The 25,693-nt window shown below is 39.2% G+C and overlaps 1 protein-coding gene across 36 annotated transcripts in view; it reads right to left on the reverse strand.

The window, feature by feature from the left end:
- The window catches only part of FREM1 (FRAS1 related extracellular matrix 1), a 173,844-nt gene that overhangs the window by 114,704 nt on the left and 33,447 nt on the right, over positions 1-25,693 (reverse strand). For 17 of the 36 annotated variants that reach the window (XM_047422844.1, XM_017014322.2, XM_017014321.3 and 14 more), the window contains 4 exons: positions 16,889-17,389; positions 11,954-12,048; positions 7,301-7,629; positions 5,698-5,894 (listed from right to left, as the gene is read on the reverse strand). In XM_047422844.1, the coding sequence (XP_047278800.1) occupies positions 5,698-5,894; positions 7,301-7,629; positions 11,954-12,048; positions 16,889-17,122 (855 nt within the window). In that variant the 5' untranslated portion in view covers positions 17,123-17,389. Of the gene's footprint in view, positions 1-5,697; positions 5,895-7,300; positions 7,630-11,953; positions 12,078-16,888; positions 17,390-25,693 lie in introns of those variants that run through there. The other 19 variants (NR_163238.2, NR_163239.2, NM_144966.7 and 16 more) reach the window with 4 other exon arrangements.

Below are 25,693 nucleotides of genomic sequence, written 5' to 3' on the forward strand. Positions count from 1 at the left end.
GACTCTTACATGCAGCCAGGTGAAGAAGGGAGCACCTACTTTGGCATCAGAAGGAACTGTGTTTATCATTCTATCTCCAACACTTTTAATTTGTGTGATTTTAGACAAGTTACTTAACTCTTCAGTCTCATTTTCTTTCCAGCTGTAAATGAAAATATTAATACTAGACTACCAAGAATTAAGTGAGGACAAATGAAATAGCCAAAGTAGGCACTTAGCAATCTGGCACTCACCAACAACCTCCTCCAGCCGCCTTCCTCACCTCCTGTCATGTAGTTTTAAAGGGGGCAGGAGAAGGATGAAGGAAATATGTCTTTATGATTTGGTTCTCATGCAAATGAAGAATAGTTGCTTGGTTGTCTAGCTAGTTAAGACCCTGGATCTTCAAGCAAGGGTTGGGCATTGGGGATTGCAAGTGGCCACTGAGGCTAGGCATGCATCCTCCCAAAATGAGAGCACTATGAGCAAGAGACCCTCCAAAGAAACCATGAAATTGTGCCACAAGATCTAAGATCTCAACAAGTGCTATGGGCAGAAAGAATCCTCACAGGGTGAGGTGTGGTAGCTCACGCCTGCAATCCCAGCACTCTGGGAGGCCGAGGTGGGAGGATTGCTTGATGCCAGGAGTTTGAGACCAGCCTAGGCAACAGAACGAGACCCTATCTCTACAAAAAAAGTAAAAATAATAAAATTAGACAGGCATGGTGGTGCACACCTATAGCCAATTACTCGAGTGGCTGAAGCAGGAAGATCACTTGAGCCCAGGAGTTTGAAGTTATGGTGAGCTATGATCATGCCACAGTACTTCAGCCTGGGCAAGAGAGTGAGACTTTGTAAAGAAAAGAAAAGAATCCTCATAGCTGTAGATGCTAGTTCTCACAGGATTTGATCTAGCCCATTGCTGAGAGAACCAGGCTCAGTTACCAAATTCACATTAGTCCCATACTGCTGAACACTTGCCATTGGGCTAGGAGTTGTAATCTGTGTATAACAGAATGCTAAAGTTCCAATAAAAGAGATTAGATGTGCAACTGAATGTAAGACAGGTAGTAAAATATGCAGAATTTACAAAGCAAGTTGTCTGGAACTAATTCCAGACTCCAGAACTTTCTTGCCCATATAAGAATATAAAAAGATTGAGAAAGGTAAGAAAAAGATTGATTAGGAGAGAGGAGTGCTTTGCTGCGTTGTGTTCAGTCACTTTCCTGACCTTCAACACCAAACATTGGCACGGAGCAGGAAGAGCAGAGCAATGCCATATCTCCTGTCCCTTAAAATGTGTTTCTTGCAGTTGAAACACACACAGAGAGCTGATGCAGGGCTCATATCTGAGGAAGCTAACTGGCTGGAAGCAAAAAAAATGATGGCTGTGCCAAAATCAGTCTGTTCTTGTTTGTGGCAACAAGGGACATATAAATGTTTCCAGTTAAGGGCCTAGTGGGCAGAGGGCTGGTCTGGGATCTCCTGGACCCTGAACTTCAGAGTGCACTCTTGAGAGGACAAAAATCCAGTAGGAAAATGCTGGAGATAGAATCAAATCCTAGGAGCTGCAGGAGAAATTGCAAGTGATCACTCAGGTTAGAAATAATCCTCTTAAGAGAGCTATGAGTGATAGATCAATGAATGGGACTCTCCAGAGAAACCATAAATTTGTCCCTAAGACAAAGATGCAGCTTGAGACATCTACCAGGCTCAGAGAGCATGAAATCATATGTCATCAATGCCTGATCAAATAAGATCCCTCTCTCCCATTCCCCAAAACCACCCCTGCCACCAGTCTGAAAATTAAGAAACTAACCAGCAATGCCCAGAGAAAAGAGAATTGCAAGAGAGGAATAGAGGAGAAGACAATCAACCCCTTCCCTTCCCACTGCATGGTTGATGAAGGCAGGTGAACGATACTGAGATGTCCCAGGGTTTAGAGTATCTAATCTTCGTGTGTCACTGGGAAGAAGTATTATTTGAAGATGCATAATTAGAAAACTCAAGAGGGGTAAATTGTGATTTAGAAGGACTGGTGCTTAATGCTAAGACCAATTGAGTCTAGAGTCAAGTCTAAATAAGTACGTTATTTTAAACATGTTAATAAAGTGGATACAAATGATGAAAGAGCTTACTGCTTGTAATAAAGTATAACAATCATATGCTAGAACTGAAATTGCAAATTATATAAACAAAGCAATTGCCAGGAGAAAGGATCAATTGGATCAGTTATCATCATACATAGGAAGGAGCCAAGAGAGCTCACTTCATTTTTTCACCGTACATATTACAAATATAGGCTTAAGAATATTTTTAAGTTTAGAATTAAGTCCAAATAAAACATCAACTGTGATAAGGAATTGTCAAATAAGATAAAGGCAAAGAAAACATCATTTATTTTGCAAGACAAATTTTTTTAATTAGCAAGAAAGCATAAAACATGATAGAAAAAAGTGTATCTATTACTACCACAAATATAAAGTTTATATTTCCTTATTCAAGACAAATAGTCTGAAATTCAACAAAAATGTCCAATTATATGTACCTTACAAGAAAGGCACTTAAAATTACATAGAAAGATTAAAAGGAAAAGGGTGATACAAATTGATCATTAATGGAAAAAGCAGAGAGACCACATAATTTCAAAGATGAATTCAATGTGGGCAGTTGATAAAAGTAAAAAATATAAGACAAAGATTCTTACAAATAACATTATATTTAATATTGTTCTTCTCAAACCAGTGGGGAATAGAGCAAAAATAAGAAGAATAATTACAGGAAAAGAAAGAACAAAATTATCATCACTAGTGAAAGATATAATTATGGTCTTTAAAAGCCCAAAGAATTGAGAACTTCTTAAAATAATTGAATTCAGGAAAGAAGCCAGATAAAAGAAAATTATTCCAAAAATAGCTTTTCTGTTTATCATCAATAACCATTGAGAAGATATAATGGGAGAAAAATATTCTATTCACCATAGGTTCACAAAAACAAAGTGCCTAGGACTGGACTTAATAAGTATGCTCACCTTACATGAAGGAAACTACGAACTTTACAGAAACCTATAAAAGAACCTTTGTTCAATAAAGTGAGATACTTCATTTCTGGATGAAAAGACTTAATATTGTAAATGTTCCATTATTCTAATTTTCCCCAAATAATTTATAGTTCTAATTGGATACTGATAAAAATCCTTAGGGGCTTTTTTTTAAACTAACATAAATGATTTAATTATATTTATTTGGAACTAAGTCTAGGTGATAATGGCCATGAAAATTTTGAAGAGAAGTGATAAGGAAGAACCTGTCTGTAAGAAAATTATAGGCCTATTATGTTTAGAATAATATGAGACTGACAAAGAATAAGTAGGTAAATCTAAGAAATAAAAGAGCTAGCCTTGAAATTGTATACGTTATATCCTTATATACAATAGAAGATCATCTAAAATCAATGGGAAACAAGTTAATTGTTCAATGAATAGTGTTGAAAATTTGGGCTATTTGGAAAAAACTGTTCCTTGTATTTCATCATATAATAAAATTGTATTTGAGGTAGATTAAAAAGGCAAATGTAAGGAAGAAGACCTTTAAAAATCTAGAAGAAATTATGAGTGAAGGATCATTTGGTCACTTGATGAGAATTGACTGTACAACCATAAAAATAACAAAAGAACAAGATACAAAACTTCACATATAGTATAAATGCGATTCCATAAAACAAAACCAACTCTGGCATGCACTCATGCACATGTGTGTGTATGTAAAAATGGTAAAAATACAGCTATATTTATTTTCTTCTTATCTTGCTTTCTGTGTTTTTTTTAATATTCTCTGCAGTGAGCCTATTACTTTTATATTCATAAATGAATCTGTTTTATGACATGCCAAATAAGCTATGGAATAGGTTAATGATAAACAAAGCAAGAAGGTAAAGGGATAAACTCCCAATAAAACAGATTTTAAAATATAAACAAATAAAGGCGTATTCAATATAGTAAGAAAAAAATGAGAAAATTTGATCAAAAAGAAAAATGGCTCCAATTTTTTTTCAATGGATATAATAAATCATTAAAAGTGAAAGGAGTTTTGTGTTAAAACAAACAGAAAACATCTATTAGTTGTCTATAGACCTAGTGTTTAGGTCTGTATGAACAAGGTATGTCACTTCTCGGGGCCACCACTATAAAATAGGAAGCTTGAGCTAAACCCAGCCTGGTTTTGCAAACCTGGCTAATGAGTTTTTTACTGGGTGACTTTTAAAACCAGCAATATGCATAGTGCTACTATGTGCCAGGTTTTATGTCAAGCACATAATAAGTATTTATCATTTAATCCTCTCAGTTACTCTAAGAAATAGGTACTATAAACCCACTTTAAGTTGAAGAAAATGAGACCAAAAGTCACACAGTTAGTTAAGTGGACGTTTGAACCCAGGCAATCTGGGCCCAGCGTCCATGCTCTTAACTATTATTTGGACTCAGAAATTTATCCTTGAAAAGCTACCCAAGTGATTTACCTGATCAATTTGACTAGTCTGCCTCACAGTTTTTTTCCAGATCTTAATTCTATGATTTTGTTTTATCATTTCTTTATGATTCCTTGTCATATCAATTCCTTGGGGTAATAATGTTCAATATTTGACTGGGCCCCTTAGGAGAAATCCCAGTGAGAAGCCAGATTGTGAAAGATAGAAGTATTTCCAAACATCATCTTGGATCATCTTTCCTCAGCACAAAATCTCAGCTGTTTCACTTTGGGAGGGTGAGGCAGGTGGATCACGAGGTCAGGAGATTGAGACCATCCTGGCTAACACGGTGAAACCCCTTCTCTACTAAAAATACAAAAAATTGGCCGGGCGTGGTGGCAGGCGCCTGTAGTCCCAGCTACTCGGGAGGCTGAGGCAGGAGAGTGGCATGAACTTGGGAGGCAGAGCTTGCAGTGAGCCGACATTATTGCGCTACTGCACTCCAGCCTGGGCGACAGAGCGAGACTCCGTCTCAAAAAAAAAAAAAAAAAAAAATCTCAGCTGTTTCAGCAGGTGCAGTTTCCCCGGTTTCCCCAATAAACAAATTATAGAGTTCATGAATCAGCAGCACTGCATGTTAAATATTTCAAATAAATGGAATCCACTTTCTGTCATTATTTCAATATATAGAGATCAATAGGAGAAAAACAAGAGAATTAAAAGAGATTGGAAGACGCAGGAGGTCTTTGGGAGCCTGTCTCCTTGATGAGCTAGCCCTTCATCCCAAAGCCTGGAAGAGTGACAAATCTGTGACAAACATAACCATGGGACTGAGATTCTCCTCCCTCCCCCTAGTTTCCTGTGACCTTGCAGAGTGGACCCCCTGATTTCAAGAAGGACAAAAGGAAGCATCAAAGAGAAGGTGTTATAAAAGGTCAAATGACAAGCTGAAGAGTATTGGGAGTAAAGGAGGAAGAAGGTTAGCACGTAACTAGCCCCAGTCCTTCCCAAGTTGCTGTACTGATGGTGGACCTAGAAGAGAACCAGAGAAGGGAAATTTTATACAAAACCTACTGTTTTAAGCACTTACTAGCAGAACCAACAAGCCTGCAGTTCCAATGAGTCGCTGGCAGTTTTACCCCCAAAAGCACAGGAACTCTCCCTGGCATGGGGGCGAGCATGAGTAAGCCTGTGTAACTGGCTCTCTTACTGTGAATCCTGGGGGCACCCACACATAACCCCAAACTCTACCTTGTACACAATTTTGCTCCTGGTATCTGTGAGGTCCAGTTGGATGGAGATATAATCAATGTTGGGTGAAGGGGGATCCAGATGCTGATAACGAAGGCCCATCAGCAGGAACTCCTCACAGCTCACTTTGAGGCTTCCTATTTTCTTTAATCCTGGGGTACAGCTCCCACCTGGACACTTCAGTTTTGCTCTCAGTTCTAGAATGTACAGCACTGGATTAAGAGAGTCACTTAAACATAACAATTGTAAAATTTAGAAACCAGTACTCCGTCCCATGAATACTTATTCCCTCTCACTGCCTCAGGAACACTCATGTACCTTCCAATCATTCACTGAGTGGGTTGTCATTATTCTGAAAGCTTGTAGTTTCCTTTACTGAAAAACGGTTGACCAGTTGTCTCATCGTGCCCTCACCCACCAAAAGTTAAACTGAGAGAAAAAATAATAAAATATGTTGTCTGAGGCTTGAACATCTCTGACAAATAGACCAGTGACTCACTGCAGGCCTTCCACAGTCTAGCTCCAGTCTTTCCTTTACAGAATCAGCTTCCATGTCTCTATCATACAATCTCTACTAGGCTGTCTACTCACTGAAATCCCCTCCCCATGTGGCTATCACGCACTCAAATCCTGCGTATCCTTCCAGGTCCACCTGGTCTTTTTACTAAGCCTTCCCTTAAACATTCTTTGACCACCTGAACCAACATGCTCTTTCTCACTGAAAACCATAATTGTCTCTCCAACAGTCTTCACATCTCTAACCAAATGTATTTCCACTCTTGTTTAGTATATAATACTCATAAGCCACTTTCAAATTAAAAAAAAATTGTACAGATGAGGTCTTGCTAGGTTGCCCAGACTGGTCTTGAAACCCTGGCCTCAAGCAGTCTTCCTGCCTCAGCCTCCCAAAGTGCTGGGATTATAGGTGTGAGCCACCATGCCCAGCCACCCACTTTTTTTTTTTTTTTTTGGAGTCTCATTTCTCAGACGTACAAAATAGAACAAATGTGCCGTTAACTGTCATTCTGTCCAAAATTCAAAGTATTACTACTATTGCTATGATTATCCCTTATATTTCTTGGCTTCTCATAGTTTCTAGAGAGAACAGGAGGTGCCCAAAATAGGTTGATTGAGTGAATAGCAGAAGGAATGTTACCCATAAACTCTTCCTAATTTCGTCTATCACTGCTACCCACTAGCTTTACTTCAAATTTGCTCATAATCCAATAATACTCCATAAATGCACCAACTACTACTGTTGCTATTACTAATAACAGCTGACAATGAGTACCTACTGTGAGCCAGACACTGTGTTAAGTACTGTGTGTATGTATAACCTCATTTACTCTTATCCTTACCCAACCCTACAGGGCAGCTATTTTCCTTTCTCATTTTAGAGAGGCTTAGACAGGTTAATAACTAAAATTACACAGAAAATAAAGAACAGATGAAGTTCTCAAAACCAGGTCTTTCTGATTGTAAAGTCTGTGCTCTTAACCACTAACTGACACTGTTCAGCCAGCTAAAATGACTAGTTAACTAGAACTCTTCATCATGGTGGAAGGTGAGCATGCATGGATATTTTTGTCAGTTTTGGTAATACCCAGAAAGGCATTAAAAGACATCATACGGGACTCTGGGAAAAAACTGTGTGGCTGATCTCCACGAGGTTCTTCTGGTCGAGGCTCCCCGAGAACCATCTGGCCATGGGCTGGCAGCCGAGTTCTCGCAGTGTCCAGGCTGACGGTACATTCCAGGCTAGCCATCCTATCATAATCGAATCTGAGCAGATTTTTATCAATCGCTTGGGACAAGCCATTGAATTCAGGCACCTCCAGCACATTGTTACTCATATGGATGATGTTACAGTCTGGTTCCAGGAGATAGACCCACAGGATAAAAGTTTCTATGAAGGTATCTCTTTCAGTAAATCTGTGGAGAACACAGGGCAAAAGCAATATTAATTGGTGCTCAGGTATTTCTGATACCCATGTACTCAGCTGGAAGACTAAAGATTGGCCTTCACCAAATTTGTGCCACAGATTGAGTTTGGATTTCATTTCTTGCTCTACTCCCAGCCTCTCTGTTCTTTTCCCTTCATCTCTTTACCCTGGTGTCAACACCTTTTCCTGCCACTTCTTCCTCCCAACATCTTTCTTTCAACACCTGCTCTCAAACTCATCATGCACGTGGATATTTAATGACTGCTGAGATCTCAGAGTCTCACTTCTAGCACATGTGTAATTTAAGAGTCTCAAGCCTATATAATTTCTGGATTGACTTTTAATTCAGGAGTGAAGGGGTGAGTGGTTTCTGAAGCATTCAGGCCTTTTTGCCCTTCAGAAATACCACTACATAGGTGGTCATTTGCAGCCTAGTTTGGGTGCCCAGCTCAGTGCTTGGCATGTAAAAAGCATATTCAGCAATTGCCACTTCCATTCCCTCCATCCACTTAGCAACTTTAATCTCAGGTTGTTTGAAGAGTCTAAAATAGAGGGGTGTCATTTTTTTTGAAGGGAGAAGATTAATGAGTGATATGCATGCATCAATAATGCAGCTTCTAATTGATGTGCTCTTATTATGGCCCAGGCATTATGCTAAATTCTCTATGATAGTATATAACATAATCCTTATAAAAACCTAGGATATCCAGACATTGTTAATCCCATTTTATGGAGGAAGAAACTCAGGCATAACGGGCTCAGGTAGCTTGCCAAAGGGGCTGGAGAAGGAGAAGCAGTAAGAGGGGAACAAACATGCTCCCTGTTTTCTGCTGCCTACTCCCCTGAATATTTTATTTCAAATGTGCTGAAGACCAAGAGGGGAAGAAGCTCCTCTAACCCTGCATTTCATGTATACTCTTCCAGCCTCCCAGCAGCCTAGAAACCCAAGGAAGGAGTAGAAGAAGCAAGCATTCATCAGCTTTTTTTCTTTTTTAAATTTATTTTTACTTTTAATTTTGTGGGTACGTAGTAGGTATGTATATATATACACATATATATACACACATATATATACACATATATATACACATATATATACATATATACACATATATACACACATATATATACACATATATACACATGTATACATATATACACATATATACATATATACACACATATATACACATATATACACACATATATACACACATATATACACATATATACACATATATACACATATATATGCACATATATATGCACATATATACACATATATACATATATACATATATACACATATATACATATATACACATATATACATATATACGTATATATACATATATACGTATATATACACATATATATACGTATATATACACATATATACATATATACACATATACACATATACACATATATACACATATACACACATATACACATATACACATATATACACATATATACATATATACACATATATACATATATATACACATATATACATATATACACATATATACATATATACATATATACATATATACATATATACACATATACATATATACATATATACACATATATATAAACATATATACACATATATATACATATATACACATATATACATATATACACATATATACGTATATACACATGTATGTACATATATACACATATATACATATATACACACATATACATATATACACATATATACACATATATACACACATATATACATATATACACATATACACATATATACATATATACATATATACATATATACACATATATACATATATACACATATATACATATATACACATATATATACATATATACACATATATACACGTATATACATATATGTACACATATATATGTAATGGGGTACATGAGATACTTTCATACAGGCAAGCAATGTGTAATAATCCCATCTTAATAAATGGGGTATCCATTTATTGAGCATTCCCTCAAGCATTTATCCTTTTTTTTTTTTTTTTTTTTTGAGACAGAGTCTCACTCTGTTGCCCAGGCTGGAGTGCAGTGCTGTAATCTCGGCTCACCGCAACCTCTGCCTCCCAGGTTCAAGAGATTCTCCTGCCTTAGCCTCCCGAATAGCTGGGACTACAGGTGCCTGCCACCACTCCCAGCTAATTTTTGTATTTTTAGTAGAGATGGGGTTTTGCCATGTTGACCAGGCTGGTCTCAAACTCCTGACCTCAGGTGATCTGCCCACCTTAGCCTCCCAAAGTGCTGGGATTAGAGGCATGAGCCACTGCGCCTGGCCCTCTTAACCTTTTTGTTACAAACAATCCAATTATAATCTTATAGTTATTTTAAAATGTGCCATTGAATTGTTACTGACGGTAGTCACCCTGTTGTGCTATCAAATACTAGGTCTTACCCATTCTAACTACTGTTTGTACTCATTAACCATCCCCATGTTCCCTGCAACTCCCCACTACCCTTCCCACCCGCTCCGCGCAAGTTCTTTGAAGTTATTTGTTTTTTAACTCTAAAGTCTTAGAAAGATCAAATGGCCCTGTATGCTGATTTCATATCTTCCTAAGGAATCCTTGAGTGCCGCTTCATTTTCTCAACACAGCATTTTGTGACTCTCTTTTGGCGCTTGTTCTGCATCATAATTACCTGCTCATCTTTTGCCTTAGACTACAAGCACTAAAATAATCTGTGTATTCTCATCCTTTTGTTGATTATGCTCAACGTACAGCCTGGCCTGTAATAGGTGGTCATAAATGTTTGTAGAATGGTTCACTGTTCCAATGTCTTGTACAAAAGTCTTTTACATTAGTCTAATGCTTAAAGGAAATTCACACCAACATATCTAACCAAATATTCTTAAAAGCAATAAAAACCAAATAAAAAACCCTATAAAGGCCTACTCCACATACATCAGTTCTCAGTGACTTTTATGAAGTCAGATATACCATAATCGTGAGCTTAAATTTAAAATTAATTTTCACTGGGATATAATTCATATACCACAAAGTTCATCTTTTAAAAATATACAACTCAGAGTTTTTTAGTGTAGTCCCAAGGTTGTACAACCATCATGACTACCTAATTCCAGAAGACTTTCATCAACCCCAAAAGAGACATATTTCCCTTCCCCAGCCTCTGGCAACCACTAATCTACTCTCCGTCTCTGTGAATTTGCCAGTTCTAGACATTTCATACAAATGGAACAATACAATATGTGACACTTTGTGCCTGGCTTCTTTTACTTGGCATAATGTTTTCAAGGTTCATTCATGCTGTAGCCTTTATCAGTGCTTCGTTGTTTTTTTATGGCTGAATGATATTCCATTCCATGAATATACCACATATTGTTTATCCATTCATCAGTTGGATTTATTCCATTTTTTGGCTGTTATGAATAATGTTGCATTGAACTTTAAGTGCAAGTTCTTATGTAAAACATAAGTTTTCATTTTTCTTATATATATGCGTAGGAGAAGAACTGCTGTCTCCTACGGTCATTCCATGTTTAACTCCATAGTTGATTTTTAAAGAATTTTAGGCCAGTCATGGTGGCACATCCCTGTAATCCCAGCACTTTGGGAGGCGGAGACAGGCAGATCATGTGGTCAGGAGATCAAGACCATCCTGGCTAACACGGTGAAACCCTACCTCTACTAAAAATACAACAAATTAGCCGGGCGTAGTGGTGGGCGCCTGTAGTCCCAGCTACTCAGGAGGCTGAGGCAGGAGAATAGCTTGAACCTGGGAGACAGAGGTTGCAGTGAGCCGAGATTGCGCCACTGCACTCCAGCCTGGGTGACAGAGCAAGACTCCGTCTCAAAAAAAAAAAAAAAAAGGAATTTTAAATATTTAATATGTTTAAAAATGGAAGATATTGCACTTTCTGTAACTAAACAGCTGGTAACAAAAAAGAAGAATTTCATTCATTTTTGGAATATATTTTCTCCCTGATTTTCATTAAGAATTTGTAGTTTATAATTTCCATTTTCTACCATAAGTGGTGGGTTGGAACACCAGAGATACCTATATAAGGACACTAGAGGGAAACAGGATACGGCTAAAAATTTGCCACAGAAGAATCCTAGGGAAGATGACACAAGTGGAAATAACTGAAAGTTGGCTACAAATCTTGCCTGATCCACTCAGGCCTCCAGTTTCTGTTGATTACTTTCTTGTCTGGAATCTATTAACTCCCCTCATGACAATACATATCCACAAGAAAAGCCCTCATAAGAACACAGAATGGTTACTTGGCAGCAAATGAGCGATGTTCCCGTGCCGCTTACCTGTAAAGTCTGAGCTTCACTGTGTCTTCATCAAGAATTGGACAACCATTGTGAACATACTTGACTTCGTTGGGAAGGAAATGGCAGTCAAAGACCTAGTTCACATGAAGAATTGGATAAATATCTATGAGAAAATTGGTACAAGATTTAACATTTTGCCAGGAGAGCACTGCCTGGAGAAAATATGCTCTGTTAGTAATGTGTGTATGTGTGTGAGTGTGTGTGTCTTCACCACCACCACCTCTACCCTACCCCCATACCCAGTCACCATCCTACTTATACAGCTGTCTCTTGTTTTGAGAATATCTAAGTTGTGAAAACCAAAGCAGTTCAAGAAAATTAGTTAAGGGATGATTACGTCTCTAAATAAGTGTCTTTTTACCACCTAGAGTGCATTTAAAACATACTTTCATTTTTCGAAATTTTATTTACCCCTTTCAGGGGTTCACAGCAATTGAGTTAGAGAGTTCTTTCTGTGTGTCTGCATGAAAAGGCATGCTTTAACCCACCCACAAACACACTGTATTCTTTCTGTATATCTGTGTTCTCCTTTCATTTCTTTTTTTTTCCGAATAGTATTCTCATATTCAAAGATGAAGCCACTGACTATGGACACTACTGTGGTTAATCAGAGCCTAACATGACCCAGAGTTGTGTCTTGCATACTTGCAAAAAACTGCTTTCATTAGTTAGGCAATAGCAGAAATGGCAGATGAGAAAAACAGAAATCTAAAAGCAATTTCCTCTATTCAAATAAAATTATAATGAACTGTCTCAACTCACTCAGAATTATTAGGAGATTGTTAACTGTTATATTTTGGGAACCTGATTTTTAGAGGAAGAATCATCTCTCCCACCCATATCATGCCCTTCATTCTGCCCAATCTGACTCTGGTAGAGTTCTAATACCCTTGAGGTATGCACGCATGTCCACCATTGTGTTCGTGGTGTTTCGTCTGTACCTTTTCACAGCCTCAAACATTTTCAGACAACATAATTCACTCAGAGAAGACTTTACCACTAATACAAACGATTTTCTTTTCCCGCAGATATCATTGATTCCTCTTTTAAATTGACAACTAGGAAGGAGATAAAGCAAAGACCTTCCCCATATCATTGACAAATAGTCATGGTAATAAAGAGACAGTCTGCTTTGTTAAAAGAAACATCTGTTTTATGTTTCATAATATGTTTTCCTTTTATAAAAGGCGACAACCATAATTGTCCATAAATTTACTAACTAAAACAAAGGAGAGCTAAATCCTTTTCTAATTACTGTCTAGCTTTGTTTTTTTCCACTTCAACTGCTTTTCAATTACAATTTATAATTAAATTGTCACACATTCCTAGCTCATTACTCACTTTAATGACAGTAAAATGGTTCAAAGTAGAGATACTTTCTTACCGCTATATTTCCTATTCAAAAAAGCAAGTTTAGTGCTAACCTGGGGTGCTTTCCACCCAGCAAATTTCTTGCTTTGGGCTAGGTGTGAGAAGTGCCATGTGTGAGGGAGTCTTGTCCTAAAACATGAGGAAAACATATTGCCATCAACCTCATCTAATTGACTATATCAAGAGGGTTATCTGAACAGAAGGCACTGGTGTGCATCAACTGAAATCCCTTTCCAAATATTCAACAGGAAAATGAACCTGTTGATCCTAAGACAAACTTCAGTAATGAAATGAAAACACTAATTGAACAGATGTTAAACAAAACATTTTCTGTGCAAGTCACATGAAACTGTTCATTACACAGCAGGGTGTTGTTAATACAGTCGTCTTGCTAGAAATGGGTTCACATAAGCTTGGCTTTCAGCTTATTACTAAGCTCTATTAAAGAATAATGTTTAGGCTGTGTGTGTGTGTGTGTGTGTGTGTGTGTGTGTGTGTGCACATGCACTTAGCTATGCTTAATTTCTAAAACTCCATAAGGAACGAACCCCTAGGGAAGGACTGAACCAGCCTGCGTTAAAAACCAAGCACAAATTCAACAAAACAAAACAGACTTAGGAATCTTGTTTTTGTTGAAATTATGAGAATAACAAATAGGAACAATCACCTGGCAGTTTGAGAAACAAAGTTCTCCCATGATATAGATTTCTCTCACACACAGTTTTAATATTTGGCCAAAAAAAGTACTGAAACTCCATATTTTAATGAACTCCTTTACCACAGAATAAATATTAGAAGATATAAATCCCATACCGACTTTAGAGGCTATAAATCCATTTGAGATGTCATATTTGCCTCTGGAAATACATACACTAAGTATTCATGACTTGATTCTACTTTTTCTTAATGAGCAATAGCAGGCTAGGGAATCAGTATATTCAGAGGTGTTTCTCAGCAACCAAGGCAATTTGTGGTTTCTCCTCTATACTGTCTTTCTAGTAACTGGAGTTTTACCTTAAAATCAGAGAGTGTGAGATGGAGATGACTTGCAGGCCTATTCCAATCCTTGATTCTTGTGAACAAATGTTTTTTACCTAGTTCTAGTCACTTGGATCCCTTTTTGCTCCTCAGTGCCTTGGAGCAGGCCAAGCAATCAGGACCATTAAAACATCACTAAAGATATATAATGGGGACAATTTTATTTCTCTCAGAGAGACTGCCATATACGGTAAGGAGTCATAGGCCATTTGAGGTAGGGAGAGGAGAGCTCTCAGAGGCTGGCTTAGGTAACAATAGATTATCTCCAAATTGCCTACTAAGGAGAATCTGGTCATCTGCAGGGCTTTTGTTTTGCTCAGTTGGGCATGCATGCTTGAGGTCCAAACTGGAAGACAGCTTAGACAGCTTGCTCCTGCGAGCTACCAGTGGGAATTTTCCTTCTTCTCTTTTTCACAATATACTCAGGCCCACTTCTAAATAAATGTTGAATGATTTTTAAAAATATATTGATTGGAAGAGGTACCATATTATCAATCACCAGTCTTTATAAGACACCCATATGTGCCAGTACAGCCCTGGGTTCCTGCTTTATCAAACACCCCAGTCCTCTAGGATCAGGTGTCCTATTTTACCCTCTCTCAAAACTCTACAGGCTGCATTTTCCTTTCTTTTTTTTTTCAGACAGAGTCTCACACTATCACCCAGGCTGGAGTGTAGTGGCACTATCTTGGCTCACTGCAACTTCCGCCTCCCGGGTTCAAGCGATTCTTGTGTCTCAGCCTCCCGAGTAGCTAGGCTTACAGGTATGTGCCACTACGCCTGGCTAATTTTTGTATTTTTAGTAGAGATGGAGTTTCACCATGTTGACCAGGCTGGTCTCTAACTCCTGGACTCAAGTGATCCACCCGCCTCAGCCACCCAAAGTACTGGAATTACAGGCGTAAGCTACTGCAACCAGCCTGCATTTTCCTTTCGACCCCAGTCCCTGTAGTTGGGTCTCTATCACCCACTCCTGAGCTTATTTGTATTGCTTCCTCATCCTATGTAGCACATTGGGGTTCTAGTATGAGCAATCCCAGGTATCTTCTTTTTCCCTGACTCGTAAGTGCCAATCAAAACACATTCAGAATGCAAGTATAATTGGGAGTAACTGAGGAGACACTGCAACTACCAAACACTTGGGAATACAATGGCTAATATGTGGAGCCATTGTTGAATTCTAACATGTTTTAGATACCCATCTAAAGCTCTTTGACTGACGATAAAATCTTACAAGCAACTAGGCAGAGACATTTGGTTACTACCACATCAGAAATACCTGCAAAGTGAGACCCTCTTCCAAAGAATTCTGATGTGTTTCAGAATGGGTCTATAACTTGAAGTGTGGTAAATGGAGTGTCTAGAGACACCAGTTGAGCTAGTATCCATCTAAGTCTTTTTTTCTCTCTCTGTAATACCTAGTACCACTTTTCAATAACCTCGTGGATTAGTTTTCTTTAGCCAAATGAAAAGGAAATAAAGTTCATAGTTCAGCAAAAGAGAATGGTCCATTTTTCCAGAAGCAGCAGCAGCATCTAGTGTTGAATATTCTCAAGATTGTTTGCACTGGGAGCAAAGTTACAGGACAGTGGGAACAAGTAATAAAATCAGAAGCAATTTTTTAAAATTATGTATAGTGGTAACTCCTACTTTAAGCAAAAACAGTGTTAGAGAATATAGACTTTTTAAACCCAATGAATTAGGAGGTAACTCTTCACTCTACAAGAAGATTGACAATAGAATACCCTTAAATATAAAGGTCTCCAAGATTTTGATTAAAAGGAAAAAAATTAAGCAGATAATTTCAAAGAACAGTGAATATTTAAAGTGAAGTATCTTCACATCTCTTTTCTACTTCTTTTCCCTTACTCAGAAAAAATGTTTAAGTGATGTTAATAGATGAAACATCTTCAAGTTTTACCTTTGCTATGCTAAGGTCACAGGTATGTCCTAAAAATGTCTTGAAATCTTGATCTCTTATCCAAAGCCACTCTGACTGGCAATGGATGTGATAACTCGGGGCAGGAATAACTCCAATGTAATTCTCTTACATGATGCTTTGCGCTTTTTCCTGTATAATTAGCTACTCTATAAGGTCAAGCAGCTGGTGAGATATACCAGAGTTATCTTCAGGAAAGAGGAGAAATTGGAAAGACTTACTGAAACAGTGCATTATTAAGAAAAAAATTACATGCATCCATATTAGTTTGAACCTGATTTCCTCTATAAATGTTATTATAATCAGGATTAAATCCTGCTGGTTTCAGGCTTGTAATCTGAAGTCAGCCAAGAATGTTTAAAAATAGGTTTCACCTCACATAGAAAAGCAGCGCAATACTATGCCTACTAATTGCAAGTCCACCATTTCAAATGTGAACATCTTCTAATACTCGTCTTTGATGGCTTGAGGGGAGACATTTTACATCTGTTCTCTGTCCCCCCACACATTTTCATACACTTGCATTCATACACACGACTGAACAGAAAATCGCAGATAGGACCTACCTGTGGAGTGAGTTTCCCAACCCTCTGGGTTATTGGCTCATTCATCACAACTTCCACTTTGCAGGCATCTTTCTCTTTAGGGATGGCAAACTTCAGGTCATCTCCTGACAGGAAGGCAGAGTGGCCCTTCATCACCCTCACCCCGCGGTTGATGCTGATGAAGGTGGGGCTGGCCCAGGCCAGGAGGAGCAGCAGCAGCACGGCATTCGCAGCCCCCCAACTCAGAGAGTTCATGCTGACAGGGCCCAACTCTTCTCTGTCCACCGGCGAAATCCCTTTAACAAAGGAGGGCTTCTGTGCTTCCTCCTGGAGGGTCAGCTCATAGTCCAAGGGGCAGGGTGAGGGGTCCTGACAATGTGCCCCGAGATCTTAACATGCCCCTTTCATTTCAAAGTCAGACAAGGGGGCCTTTCAGGCAATCCCAGGGCTTTTAATAAAACTCGCTGATCACTCCTGACAACGCCGGCAAGATTAATGGGCTTCCCAAGTGCTTTTCTAATCCTGCAAATGGGAGAAGGGGTTGGAGTAAAGCGAGAGAGAGACCAAAAGGTTTATGTGGCTATTCAAAAGATCGCTACCAACAAAGGGATCTTTCAACCAGCCTATGAGTTCAGCTAAATTAAAAACAAATAAACTAACTTGACCTCTAGACCCATCTGAAAGGCAAAGCAGCCATTTCATTACCCTGCTTATAGCTCCTGCTTCCGGACTTGACATACCGCTTCCGGACTTGACATATCCCAACCGGGATGTCAACTGTGTGGTCCAGGAGGAAACAGCCAGCCTTATTGCCAACAAGTGTGGCTTTTGTTCACTGAGTTCATAGACAGTTGTCAAACTCTTTGCTTCCCTTTCCTCATTTGTTAAATGAGGATTATAATCTAATTTTTTTCAGAGAGCTGATAGGATTATTAACACATTGTTTGAAAACATGATTCATTCTAAATCAGTGCTACTTGGATAAGAAAGAAGTTTAATGATTTATCACACTGGGCACACTTCTGACTTTGCTGGGCAATGAAGACACCTAAGAAACATTTGAGTGGTAATTACAGAAAATATGCTTTTTTCTAAGTGAACATTCAAGTTTCTGTTTATGTGTGAAAGGGACTACGAATGAGGTGACATAGCTTCAGCACGCACAGCTAATGACACAGCATATGGACATGCGTATTTATACTATCTACAATGCTAATTACATTCCCATGTACTCAACTTGCACAAATAGAGTCTTTGTTTCCACTTTATCCACTTAGAATTTCATGATGATTTCTCTGTGTTCCATAAGAAATGAAAAGATTTTATCTAAAGTAAAATGCACTGAAATATATCCCTAAATTCCCAGTATAATTAGGTGAACAAATAGTGGTTTGTTATGCCCAAAGAAAGGCCTTCCATGTTAATAATTTCAATAAATTTCTGTGCATAACCAGTAGATACCAAAATGAATGTTTGTCAGAAGGTTGTAGAAGAACAAATGCCTCCATTATCCACATCTAATCTATTTCCATTCCCTTGTCACTGTTTGCAACCTTTCACTTTTGAGGCAGTGCCTGACTTGTGTCACCTGATACCTGAGGGGTGTACACTTTACAGAGCAGCCTGTTTTTTATGGTATCAGTCCCAGAGTAAAACTGTTCTCACACTCCAACTGACTCTATTGTCCACAATCAAGCTGACTTAGGTTGGCTTATTTGGGCAAGAATGCACATCTGGTTGTTTTGTTTTTTGTTGCTGTTGTCTTTGTTTTTTTTCTTAAATTTAAAATGCCTTTTATTATGCTCTGCAAAATGTAAATGTCACACACTTGGTAATATTCCTGTTACATAATCAGTGTATCCTTTTATCAATAGAAAAAATACCCTTAGAAAGGCTATCAATTTAATATGGTTTCTTTTTTTTATTTTAATTCATTTTATTATTATTATACTTTAAGTTTTAGGGTACATGTGCACAATGTGCAGGTTAGTTACATATGTAGACATGTGCCATGCTGGTGTGCTGCACCCATTAACTCGTCACTTAGCATTAGGTATATCTCCTAATGCTATCCCTCCCCCCTCCCCCGACCCCACAACAGTCCCCAGAGTGTGATGTTCCCCTTCCTGTGTCCATGTGTTCTCATTGTTCAATTCCCACCTATGAGTGAGAATATGCGGTGTTTGGTTTTTTGTTCCTGCGATAGTTTACTGAGAATGATGATTTCCAATTTCATCCATGTCCCTACAAAGGACATGAACTCATCATTTTTTATGGCTGCATAGTATTCCATGGTGTATATGTGCCACATTTTCTTAATCCAGTCTATCATGGCTGGACATTTGGGTTGGTTCCAAGTCTTTGCTATTGTGAATGGAGCTGCAATAAACATACGTGTGCATGTGTCTTTATAGCAGCATGATTTATAGTTCTTTGGGTATATACCCAGTAATGGGATGGCTGGGTCAAATGGTATTTCTAGTTCTAGATCCCTGAAGAATCACCACACTGACTTCCACAATGGTTGAACTAGTTTACAGTCCTACCAACAGTGTAAAAGTTTTCCTATTTCTCCACATCCTCTCCAGCACCTGTTGTTTCCTGACTTTTTAGTGATTGCCATTCTAACTGGTGTGAGATGGTATCTCATTGTGGTTTTGATTTGCATTTCTCCGATGGCCAGTGATGGTGAGCATTTTTTCATGTGTTATTTGGCTGCATAAATGTCTTCTTTTGAGAAGTGTCTGTTCATATCCTTCGCCCACTTTTTGATGGGGTTGTTTGTTTTTTTCTTGTAAATTTGTTTGAGTTCATTGTAGATTCTGGATATTAGCCTTTGTCAAATGAGTAGGTTGCGAAAATTTTCTCCCATTGTATAGGTTGCCTGTTCACTCTGATGGTAGTTTCTTTTGCTGTGCAGAAGCTCTTTAGTTTAATTAGATCCCATTTGTCAATTTTGTCTTTTGTTTCCATTGCTTTTGGTGTTTTAGACATGAAGTCCTTGCCCATGCCTATGTCCTGAATGGTAATACCTAGGTTTTCTTCTACGGTTTTTACGGTTTTTACGGTTTTAGGTCTAACATTTAAGTCTTTAATCCATCTTGAATTAATTTTTGTATGAGGTGTAAGGACGGGATCCAGTTTCAGCTTTGTACATATGGCTAGCCAGTTTTCTCAGCACCATTCATTAAATAGGGAATCCTTTCCCCATTGCTTGTTTTTGTCAGGTTTGTCAAAGATCAGATAGATCTTTGTAGACATGCGGCATTATTTCTGAGGGCTCTGTGCTGTTCCATTGATCTATATCTCTGTTTTGGTACCAGTACCATGCTGTTTTGGTTACTGTAGCCTTGTTGTATAGTTTGAAGTCAGGTAGCGTGATGTCTCCAGCTTTGTTCTTTTGGCTTAGGATTGACTTGGCAATGCGGGCTCTTTTTTGGTTCCATATGAACTTTAAAGTAGTTTTTTCCAATTCTGTGAAGAAAATCATTGGTAGCTTGATGGGTATGGCATTGAATCTATAAATTACCTTGGGCAGTATGGCCATTTTCACGATATTGATTCTTCCTACCCATGAGCATGGAATGTTCTTCCATTTCTTTGTATCCTCTTTTATTTCATTGAGCAGTGGTTTGTAGTTCTCCTTGAAGAGGTCCTTCAGGTCCCTTGTAAGTTGGATGCCTAGGCATTTTATCCTCTTTGAAGCAACTGTGAATGGGACTTCACTCATGACTTGGCTTTCTGTTTGTCTTTTATTGGTGTATAAGAATGCTTGTGATTTTTGTATATTGATTTTGTATCCTGAGACTTTGCTGAAGTTGCTTATCAGCTTAAGGAGATTTTGGACTGAGACAATGGGGTTTTCTAGATATACAATCATGTCATCTGCAAACAGGGACAATTTGACTTCCTCTTTTCCTAATTGAATACCCTTTATTTCCTTCTCCTGCCTAATTGCCCTGGCCAGAACTTCCAACACTATGTTGAATAGGAGTGGTGAGAGAGGGCATCCCTGTCCTGTGCCAGTTTTCAAAGGGAATGCTTCCAGTTTTTGCCCATTCAGTATGATATTGGCTGTGGGTTTGTCATAGATAGCTTTTATTATTTTGAGATATGTCCCATCAATACCTAATTTATTGAGAGTTTTTAGCATGAAGGGCTGTTGAATTTTGTCAAAGGCCTTTTCTGCATCTATTGAGATAATCATGTGGTTTTTGTCTTTGGTTCTGTTTATATGCTGGATTACATTTATTGATTTGCGTATATTGAACCAGCCTTGCATCCCAGGGATGAAGCCCACTTGATCATGGTGGATAAGCTTTTTGATGTGCTGCTGGATTCGGTTTGCCAGTATCTTATTGAGGATTTTTGTATCAATGTTCATCAAGGATATTGGTCTAAAATTCTCTTTTTTGGTTGTGTCTCTGCCAGGCTTTGGTATCAGGATGATGCTGGCCTCATAAAATGAGTTAGGGAGGATTCCCTCTTTTTCTATTGATTGGAATAGTTTCAGAAGGAATGGTACCAGCTCCTCCTTGTACCTCTGGTAGAATTCGGCTGTGAATCCATCAGGTCCTGGACTCTTTTTGGTTGGTAAGCTATTGATTATTGCCACAATTTCAGAGCCTGTTATTGGTCTATTCAGAGATTCAACTTCTTCCTGGTTTAGTCTTCGGAGGGTGTATGTGTCGAGGAATTTATCCATTTCTTCGATATTTTCTAGTTTATTTGTGTAGAGGTGTTTGCAGTATTCTCTGATGGTAGTTTGTATTTCTGTGGGATCGGTGGTGATATCCACAATATCATTTTTTATTGCATATATTTGATTCTTCTCTCTTTTCTTCATTAGTCTTGCTAGGGGTCTATCAATTTTGTTGATCCTTTCAAAAAAACCAGATCCTGGATTCATTAATTTTTTGAAGGGTTTTTTGTGTCTCTATTTCCTTCAGTTCTGCTCTGATTTTAGTTATTTCTTGCCTTCTGCTAGCTTTTGAATTTGTTTGCTCTTGCTTTTCTAGTTCTTTAAATTGTGATGTTAGGGTGTCAATTTTGGATCTTTCCTGCTTTCTCTTGTGGGCATTTAGTGCTATAAATTTCCCTGTACACACTGTTTTGAATGTGTCCCAGAGATTCTGGTATGTTTTGTCTTTGTTCTCGTTGGTTTCAAAGAACATCTTTATTTCTGCCTTCATTTCGTTATGTACCCAGTAGTCATTCAGGAGCAGGTTGTTCAGTTTCCATGTAGTTGAGTGGTTTTGAGTGAGTTTCTTAATCCTGAGTTCTAGTTTCATTGCACTGTGGTCTGAGGGACAGTTTGTTATCATCTCTGTTCTTTTACATTTGCTGAGAAGAGCTTTACTTCCAACTATGTGGTCAATTTTGGAATAGGTGTGGTGTGGTGCTGAAAAAAATGTATATTCTGTTGATTTGGGGTGGAGGGTTCTGCAGATGCCTATTAGGTCTGCTTGGTGCAGAGGTGAGTTCAATTCCTGGGTACCCTTGTTAACTTTTGTCTCGTTGATCTGTCTAATGTTGACAGTGGGGTGTTAAAGTCTCCCATTATTATTGTGTGGGAGTCTAAGTCTCTTTGTAGGTCACTCAGGACTTGCTTTATGAATCTGGGTGCTCCTGTATTGGGTGCATATATATTTAGGATAGTTAGCTCTTCTTGTTGAATTGATCCCTTTACCATTATGTAATGGCCTTCTTTGTCTCTTTTGATCTTTGTTGGTTTAAAGTCTGTTTTATCAGAGACTAGGATTGCAACCCCTGCCTTTTTTTGTTTTCCATTTGCTTGGTAGATCTTCCTCCATCCTTTTATTTTGAGCCTATGTGTGTCTCTGCACATGAGATGGGTTTCCTGAATACAGCACACTGATGGTTCTTGACTCTTTATCCAATTTGCCAGTCTGTGTCTTTTAATTGGAGCATTTAGTCCATTGACATTTAAACTTAATATTGTTATATGTGAATTTGATCCTGTCATTATGATTTTAGCTGGTTATTTTGCTCATTAGTTGATGCAGTTTCTTCCTAGTCTTGATGATCTTCACAATTTGGCATGATTTTGCAGTGGCTGGTACCGGTTGTTCCTTTCCATATTTAGTGCTTCCTTCAGGAGCTCTTTTAGGGCAGGCCTGGTGGTGACAAAATCTCTCAGCATTTGCTTGTCTGTAAAGTGTTTTATTTCTCCTTCACTTATGATGCTTAGTTTGGCTGGATATGAAATTCTGGGTTGAAAATTCTTTTCTTTAAGAATCTTGAATATTGGCCCCCACTCTCTTCTGGCTTGTAGAGTTTCTGCCGAGAGATCCGCTGTTAGTCTGATGGGCTTCCCTTTGTGGATAACCCGACCTTTCTCTCTGGCTGCCCTTAACATTTTTTCCTTCATGTCAACTTTGGTGAATCTGACAATTACGTGTCTTGGAGTTGCTCTTCTCGAGGAGTATCTTTGTGGTGTTCTCTTTATTTCCTGAATCTGAATGTTGGCCTGCCTTGCTAGATTGGGGAAGTTTTCCTGGATAATATCTTGCAGAGTGTTTTCCAACTTGGTTCCATTCTCCCCATCACTCATCACTTTCAGGTACACCAATCAGACGTAGATTTGGTCTTTTCACATAGTCCCATATTTCTTGGAGGCTTTGTTCATTTCCTTTTATTCTTTTTTCTCTAAACTTCCCTTCTCACTTCATTTCATTCATTTCATCCTCCATCACTGATACCCTTTCTTCCAGTTGATCGCATCGGCTCCTGAGGCTTCTGCATTCTTCACGTAGTTCTCGAGCCTTGGCTTTCAGCTCCATCAGTGCCTTTAAGCACTTCTCTGTATTGGTTATTCTAGTTACACATTCGTCTAAATTTTTTTTAAAGTTTTTAACTTCTTTGCCTTTGGTTTGAATTTCCTCCTGTAGCTCTAAGTAGTTTGATCGTCTGAAGCCTTCTTCTCTCAACTCGTCAAAGTCATTCTCCATCCAGCTTTGTTCCGTTGCTGGTGAGGAACTGCATTCCTTTGGAGGAGGAGAGGCGCTCTGCTTTTTAGAGTTTCCAGTTTTTCTGCTCTGTTTTTTCCCCATCTTTGTGGTTTTATCTACTTTTGGTCTTTGATGATGGTGATTTACAGATGGGTTTTTGGTGTGGATGTCCTTTCTGTTTGTTAGTTTTCCTTCTAACAGACAGGACCCTCAGCTGCAGGTCTGCTGGAGTTTGCTAGAGGTCCACTCTAGACCCTGTTTGCCTGGGTATCCACAGCAGTGGCTGCAGAACAGCGGATTTTCGTGAACCGCAAATGCTGCTGTCTGATCGTTCCTCTGGAAGTTTTGTCTCAGAGGAGTACCCGGCCGTGTGAGGTGTCAGTCTGCCCCTACTGGGGGGTGCCTCCCAGTTAGGCTGCTCGGGGGTCAGGGGTCAGGGACCCACTTGAGGAGGCAGTCTGCCCATTCTCAGATCTCCAGCTGCGTGCTGGGAGAACCACTGCTCTCTTCAAAGCTGTCAGACAGGGACATTTAAGTCTGCAGAGGTTACTGCTGTCTTTTTGTTTTTCTGTGCCCTGCCCCCAGAGGTGGAGCCTACAGAGGCAGGCAGGTCTCCTTGAGCTGTGGTGGGCTCCACGCAGTTCGAGCTTCCTGGCTGCTTTGTTTACCTAAGCAAGCCTGGGCAATGGCGGGCGCCCCTCCCCCAGCCTCGCTGCCGCCTTGCAGTTTGATCTTAGACTGCTGTGCTAGCAATCAGTGAGACTCCGTGGGCGTAGGACCCTCTGAGCCAGGTGCAGGATATAATCTCCTGGTGCGCCATGTTTTAAGCCCGTCGGAAAAGCACAGTATGAGGGTGGGAGTGACCCAATCTTCCAGGTGCCGTCTGTCACCCCTTTCTTTGACTAGGAAAGGGAACTCCCTGATCCCTTGCGCTTCCCAAGTGAGGCAATGCCTCACCCTGCTTCGGCTCAAGCACAGTGCGCTGCACCCACTGTCCTGCGCCCACTGTCTGGCACTCCCTAGTGAGATGAACCCGGTACCTCAGATGGAAATACAGAAATCACCCGTCTTCTGCATCGCTCACGCTAGGAGCTATAGACTGGAGCTGTTCCTATTCAGCCATCTTGGCTGCCTCCCCTTTAATATGGTTGTTGAACTTTGACAAGATACAATATTTTTTCCATTCACATTTGGCATCTAACGCAACAGCACATTCAGGGAGAGGAGAGGCAAGAAGATAGGTAGATGTCTCCCAAAACTGGGAGGTAAGGGGGAATCTTTGCTTTCTGAGATTTAAACTAATTAACACATGGAGGCTGCAAGGACTCCACACTCCTGCAGTCCTCTTATCTCACTCTATCCCACTTTGTCTCCTTACCTGGTTCTTTCTAGACTCCCTGACTCTTTAATGCTGGGACCCTAGAGTCCAGTTGTAGGACCTGTTTTGTATCTACACTCATTCCTTAGTGATCTCATTCCTTGGCCTTAAATACCACCTATGTGCTAATGGACCTCAAACTTACACCTCTAGCCTGGACCCTCTTGCTTAACTCTAGATTTGCACATGCAACTGTCTGCTTATCATCTCTGGGTGGTGTATAAAAGACATCTCACACTTTATGAAGCCAAAATTGAGCTCTCAATCTTCCCTCCCTCAGTCTTCCTTACCTTAATTAACAGCAACTCCAACTTTTCAGTTGTTCCTTTCTTCATCACACATTCTAAATCTAGACAAAAAATCTTGTTGTTTCTTTATGGTAGACAGATCTTAGGTGACCCCCCAAATAATTCCAGTCTCCTAGTATCCAAAAGTTCCTTCCCCTTGAGTGCCAGCAGAATCTGTAACACTTCCAAC

Source organism: Homo sapiens, chromosome 9 (assembly GCF_000001405.40).
Source record: "Homo sapiens chromosome 9, GRCh38.p14 Primary Assembly".
Lineage (NCBI taxonomy): Eukaryota > Metazoa > Chordata > Mammalia > Primates > Hominidae > Homo > Homo sapiens.